The 6963-nt window shown below is 42.5% G+C and overlaps 2 annotated features.

Moving 5' to 3' along the window:
* Nucleotides 384–473: an enhancer, noted in NCBI's record as "active region_20882". NCBI's record gives its function as "activates an Ori minimal core promoter by ATAC-STARR-seq in GM12878 lymphoblastoid cells {active_cell/tissue: GM12878}" and the evidence as "EXISTENCE:reporter gene assay evidence [ECO:0000049][PMID:35858748]".
* Nucleotides 4593–4793: a silencer, noted in NCBI's record as "peak4955 fragment used in MPRA reporter construct". NCBI's record gives its function as "represses an SCP1 promoter by STARR-seq MPRAs in K562 erythroleukemia cells {active_cell/tissue: K562}" and the evidence as "EXISTENCE:reporter gene assay evidence [ECO:0000049][PMID:32103011]".

Consider the following 6963-nt stretch of genomic DNA (forward strand, 5'->3'; position numbering starts at 1 on the left):
TACCCGGGCGTGGTGGCTCATGCCTGTAATCCCAGCTACTCGGGAGGCTGAGGCAGGAGAATTGCTTGAACCCGGGAGGCGGAGGTTGCAGTGAGCCAAGATCACGCCACTGCACTCCAGCCTGGACGGCAGAGGGAGACTCTGTCTCAAAATAAATAAATAAATAAAAACTATGGGACCTGTGCATTGAGGGAGTAGACTTAGTATTGAATCTCAACATCATCAATCCCACCTTCCCAAAGGGAGGTTAGGAAGGGGAACAAACTCCCTTCTCAGAAGCAGTATTTTAGTTACTGCCCAGTCTTGTAAGTAAAATCCCCTCCCGACCCCAAACCCGAAAATTGAGAAGTGAAACTTCTCAGACATTCGGAAGGATGAAGAAGAGGAAAAGGTCTCACAAGCAGAGGGCTAGAAAGAGCAAAGTATCATACTGCTGTTTAGCATGGTTTAAATGGATGCAAAAATGGCAGTCAACACTTTAATTTCTTTGTACCCTAAAGTTTCTATCTCTTTGCTCACAAACTAAGGAGCAACTCAGAGAAAGGAGTCACACTTGATTTTGGTTTGTGACCCAAACACAAAAACTGAAACTTGGAGACAGAAAAAGAAAGATAGGAAACCACCAGCTTTACATCAACCCAATCAGACACATCTAAAAGACTCAGTGTGACTCTTTTTTCTGAAAGTGGGCCAGGCGCGGTGGCTCACGTCTGTAATCCTAGCACTTTGGGAGGCCAAGGAGGGCAGGTCAGAAGGTCAGGAGATAGAGACCATCCTGGCAAACATGGTGAAACCCCGACTCTACTAAAATACAAAACATCAGCCGGGCGTGATGCTGCATGCCTGTAGTTCCAGCTGCTCGGCTGAGGCAGGGGAATCCGTTGAACCTGGGAGGCGGAGGTTGCAGTGAGCCGGAATCGCGCCCCTGCGCTCCATTCTGGCGACAAAGCAAGACTCCGTCTCAAAAAAAAAAGAGAAAGTAAACAGTCTGAGAAAAGGGAAGGTAAACGTCTGTTACCCACCTTCTCCTCACTCTTCATATCTTAGTAAAGGACCCTAGAAAATAATCAGTAATATTAGCTTCTATCTGCAACCCCTCTTGCTATGTCATCAGGCAAATGCCAACCTCTTTGTGACTTGTTTCTCAATAGTAAAATGTACATAATGGTAAGTAAAAGTGCATAATCATTAACAGGACAGGCTCTCTAAAGTGAGACAGAGCTGGGCTCAAATCCCAGTGTCCCTCTACTTACAGCTGAATGGTGTTAAGCCATTCATTACTTAATGTCTCTGAACCTCAATTTCCCCATTATAAAATGGCTTAATAGCAGCATGAGAACTGTCGTGGGTTGGGGGGAGGGGGAAGGATAGCATTAGGAGATATACCTAATGCTAAATGACGAGTTAATGGGTACAGCACACCAGCATGGCGCATGTATACATATGTAACTAACCTGCACATTGTGCACATGTACCCTAAAACTTAAAGTACAATCATAATAAAATAAAATAAAAATAAAATAAAATAAAATGGCTTAATAGTATATATGCCATAGAGTCATTGTGGGGATCCAATAAGAGTATGTAAATAAATCTTTTTTGCTATATGCTATGGTTTGGATATTTGACCCTTCCAAATTTCATATTGAATTGTGACCACCGACCAGGTGCAGTGGCTCACACCTGTAATCCCAATACTTTGGGAGGCCAAGGCAGGAGGATTGCTTGAGCTCAGGAGTTCAAGACCAGCCTGGGCAACATGGTGAAACCCCATCTCTACAAAAAATACAAAAACGTCAGCCAGGCATGGTGGCACACGCCTGTAGTCCCAGCTACTCGGGAGGCTGGGGCAGGAGAATCGCTTGAACCCTGGAGGCAGAGGTTGCAGTCAGCCGAGATCGAGCCATTGCACTACAGCCTGGGTGTGGCAGCAAGACTCCGTCTCAAAAAAAAAAAAAATTAGCTTGGTATGGTGGCTTACGCCTGTAGTCCCAGCTACTAAGGAGGCTGAGGTGGGAGGATGACCTGAGCCTAAGGAGACTGAGGCTGCAGTGAGCAGTAATCACACCACTGCACTCCAGCCTGGGTGACAGAGTGAGACCCCGTCTCAAAAAACAAAAAACAAACAAAAAAAAACTGTGACCACCAGTGTTGGAGGTGGGGCCTCATGGGAGGTAATGGGAGGTGTTTGGGTCTTGAAGGCAGATGACTTGTGAATGGCTTTGTGCCCTCCTCATGGTAATGAGTGAGTTCTTGCTCCATTTGTTCCCACCAAAGCTGGTTGTTAAAGACAGCCTGGCACCTCCCCACCTTCTCTCTTGGTTTCGCTCTCACCATGTGACCTCTGCATATACCGGCTCCCCCTCCCCTTCTGCCATGAGTGGAAACTTCCTAAAACCCTCACCAGAAGCAGATGCCGGTGTTGTGCTTCTTGTACAGCCTGCAGAATCATGAGCCAAGTACATCTCTTTTCTTTATCAATTACTCAGTCTCAGGTATTCCTTTACAGCAGCACAAACAGACTGAGAGACCATGTAAAATAACATTGTAAGTTTCCAGAGATTAGGACCTAGCTATCTTTGGGGCCATTATACAGGCTGCAACTTGATACAGGCTGTATAATGACCTCAAAGATATCCAGGTTTTAATCTGGGTGGGTACTCCAGAGGGAAGACTCCCACCCCCACCCCCAGTGCCCTTCTCTGTTGGAGCTCCACCACCTGCCTGCACGCTCTGGTGTTTGCAAGTAGAGCCCCAGTGGGGCAGGCAAGGCACAGGGGACAGAGCAAAAGCAGCAAAGTATGCTTTAGGGGAGAAAGGGGAAATCTACAAAGTATGCTTTAGGGGAGAAGGGGAAATCCAGTGACATTTCAAAAACCTCATCAAGTACATTGAACACAAAATGATCCTGCCAACCTGTCTCTCCCTTATCCTACTTCATCCTGGGTTAAAATCAGCTTCACAGGAAAATACTTCTATCCTGGCTACGGCAAATCAAAAAAGAAGCTTCATAAGTCACCCCGTCATAGCATAGTCTTCACGAAGCCTGGGAAAAATGGCTCTGCAGAGGCATTGCTGCTTTTGCTCTGTCACCCCTGCCTTGCCTGCCCAGCTGGGGCTCTATTTGCAAATGCCAGAATGTCCAGGCAGGTGGCAGAACTCCAACAGAGAAAGGCACTAGGGGGGTGCGGGGGGATTCTTTCCTCTAGAGTATCCACCCAGAGGCCACCCAAGGCCTGCACCAGAGATTGGGACTACTTACTGTACTGTCCTCTCCCTTGGGTGAAGACTGGGCATATGAGGCCCTCTGTGTAGATAAAGAGCTTCCATTTAGACAGCACCATCTAGCATGGTTCCCTTTCATGATTAATTGCAATGTTTTTGCTTTTAATTTAGCAAGGCTTATGGCCATGTAGTTCCCAAGCCATGTCATTCTCAAATATTTCACTTGGCCGTATCTTACAGACTCAGGGATGCTCTCAGTATGTGTGAGGGGGTCTACAAGTGAGAATTGAGGGAAGCAGAGAGAGCCACATTTGTTCAGTGCCTACTATGCACCAAGCACTATCCTAGGGGCTTTACTTATGTCATTTCATTTTGTTCTTACAAAAACACGTCATGCACATGAGGGAGCTGAGGTTCTGCTAAGTTATAGGTTGTTATTTTCTCAAAATCATAAAGTTAATAAGAGGCAGAGTTTGGAGTCATACTGAAGTGTGTCTGCCTCCTAAGCCACCATGTTTTCACAGCATCCCTCCACCTAAGGGAAGGGGAGGGGAGAAAGCAGCCAACCACAGCCATGACTCCAGTTTCGCTTGGAGTTCTTGAATTACCAGCAGTCGATTCTTCCTTACCTATAGGCTTGTACTCCTAGCCACCAACCCTATGGCTAAATTACAAGTAAATAGAACACAATTGAGAAATTGCTCAGCAAACTAAAATCTAATCTATTCTGCTTTGTATGCCAACTGATTGCCTTATGGACCAGTGGTCTCCAATATTTTTTTGAATGTGTATCTTAGTAAAAAACTGTTGATCACATACCCTCAATAAACCTGTGTTTATTTTTTAGAGGCTACCTGAAAAATAGAAAAAAACAAAAGTGAACATTCATAATATGATATTTTAGCAGTTAGAAGTTTTAATATTTTTCTTTCCACGTTTGAATGGGTCAACTTGCATTCATTGCTGTATTAACAGTCATTAACCCGGAAGACCACTGTCATATTCAGTTACTGTTGAGATGCAAACCTGCTGCTATATACCAAGACTCATCCGTCAACATTTAAGAAAACCCTACCTAGCAATGGTTATAAGTACCTATAATGGAAGACTACTATTTCAGTAGCCAAAAAACTCAGGTGACTTCATGGCATCTTCCACATTGCCAATCAGAATCCTCCTAGATCCGTTCATGCCCAAGTGGCATTCTGGTCCCTAAATGTAGGGCACATTTGCCTAGCTCCTTCCTAAATGATCTGATTACCATAGTTAATTTGTTTAAAAACGGGCCAGAACTGAAGAACATACCACAAAAACTCAGATTTTTGTGTAAACTTTCATCATGAAAAACGTGCCCTGAATTTGAAGTGGAGAAGAGCTTGAAACTTCTTCATTTCTATATTGTAGAAAGTTATTTGGTCACAAAAGAGCATCCACTCTGCATCCCACTGAAGTCTAATTTATGTTTTTTGGTCACAAGTTCCTCTTTGGGATGCCTACAGGTCTACTCCCTGAGTGAGGAGGCTACATGTCTTATCTTTTTAAGTACCCCTTTCCATGGCTTGTCTGAGCTGAGGAGAGAGTCTGCCTAAGAAGGACCCCACTAACAGGGAGTTCCCTCTCCTGAGCCACAGGTGAGGTGTATCCAAATGAAGGGAGTATATCGGGCAAAGCAGCCAGTGGAGTGTGTGCAGTTTGGGGGATGAGAAAACGGATCAGGAAAAAGGTAACTGTCTAGAGAAGACTGTTCAGGAAGGTGATCAAACAAGGAGAAGGGTCCATGGCAAACATCACAAGTCAAATTTCAAACCCAAGAGCTTAAAGAACCTGGGGATTTCAGCAGAGCCAAAACTGGATAGGCCATCTGGGCAAATACCAAAGAGGACTGTTCTCTTCAGGCGGCTTTTACATGCTCACTGAGACACGGCAGAGGGAAGAACAACTCCAAGCTGAAATGCCCTTGTTGTCAAACTTTCTGGGCCTAGGATCAATGGGGACTTTCTCAAAAATGAGATTCTAGTTCAGTATATTTTGGAGGGGGACAGGGGATGGAGACTATGAATCTGGATTTTTAACAAATACCCCCAAGAAATTCTCATGCAAGTGTTCCATGGACCAGGTTTTTAAAAGCACTGAAATTAGTTATTGTCATGCTCAGGTTAATAGGCTCCATTAAAAAAAGTATCTCCCTGGGGTTTAAAGTGTATATATACATAAATGATTTAAACTATCATATAAGTTAGCATATACTTTGTATTTTTCCCACTGAAAGAGGTACCCCAAAATTATCCCCTGTCAAATTAAATACTACCAATAAAAAAGTTCAGTACCAGGAGGCAAGGAGTGTAGTGAATGACAGGCAATAGTACTTATGATACCCTCCTAATGGCAGGATGCTGCAACATAAAACACTCTTTAAGAGTTATCTTACAATTAATTGTGTCATAGGGCACAAAGCTGATCCGTGTAGAGTTTATATTAGCCCTGTAATAATTTCTATTTCTCTTTATAGTTATCTCTCTTTCTTTTGCATAACTCATGGTTCAAAGGCAATACAAGCATCTCTCTAACATTAAAATCAGTTTAGTATTTTAAGACTTCGAGAGAAAGGACCATAATAGGGTTGCCAAGTAGTATTCAGATCTTGCAACAACCAAGAAAATTACAAAGACTTGGAGAAAACAGTAAAAATAGCAGTGAGTTGATAGTAAGCACTCTATTGTAAAGGAAAAGATAGTGGTGATATGTCTGTTAAAATTGTGGATTTCTTGTTTTGAAGGAATGTCAGCTCCATTTCTAGGGCAGTGACAGCCAGCAATGAAGATTCAGCAGTACAAAGGGTATGGGCATGATGTTTGGCTAGTGTTAAAGAAAAATTCTTCCTAGGTTATGATAATAAAGAGTGAAACCTCTATGGTGCTTTTTTTCATGTGTCTGTTCATTTTTATGGGAATATGGTATGAATTATAGTGCTGGCTTCCGTTGGAATTCAGTCTATTTCCTTGTTGCTTTCTTTATCCTAACATTCTGCAAAATATTTGATATAACTGCCTGCATGACTATGATATTGGCATTCCTTCAAATGCAGTAATTTACTCCCGTACTTAATGCTAGCTTTTACTGAACTATTTATTTGGCTACATGTGCTGTCACTACCTTTATAGAAAGACATTCAAATTTATGTTGCTGCCTGCTTTGTGCCCATTTTAATTGATATGTTTACTTTTTACAGACTATGCAGAAATTTATTCTAATATATTTTGTATTGTAACTCACTTTTTAGTACTAGTATTTCCATTAGAAATAGTAGTACGAACTGTGCTAGTACAGTTCCATTATTTTTCCTTTTGCAGCACCACATGTATGGCAGAAGGCTTAATTAACCAGTCTATTTGTGATGTTTTATTTCTATCTTAGGTACCAATATTTAATGGTAATCAACATATTTCGGTAGAGCTACGTATTTTATATTTTTCAAAGGTTAATAGAATATTATATGTTATACTGTATTACATAAACAAAATTATATCTTCCCCTAAAAACATTTTAAAATCACTTTTAATAAAAGTTTAGAGATAAGGCCGGGTACAGTGGCTCATGCCTGTAATCCCAGCACTTTGGGAGGCCAAGGTAGACAGATCACCTGAGGTCAGGAGTTTGAGACCAGCCAGGCCAGCATGGCGAAACCCTGTCTCTTCTAAAAATACAAAAATTAGCCAGATATGGCGGTGGGCACCTGTA

Source organism: Homo sapiens, chromosome 3 (genome assembly GCF_000001405.40).
Source record: "Homo sapiens chromosome 3, GRCh38.p14 Primary Assembly".
Taxonomy (NCBI): domain Eukaryota; kingdom Metazoa; phylum Chordata; class Mammalia; order Primates; family Hominidae; genus Homo; species Homo sapiens.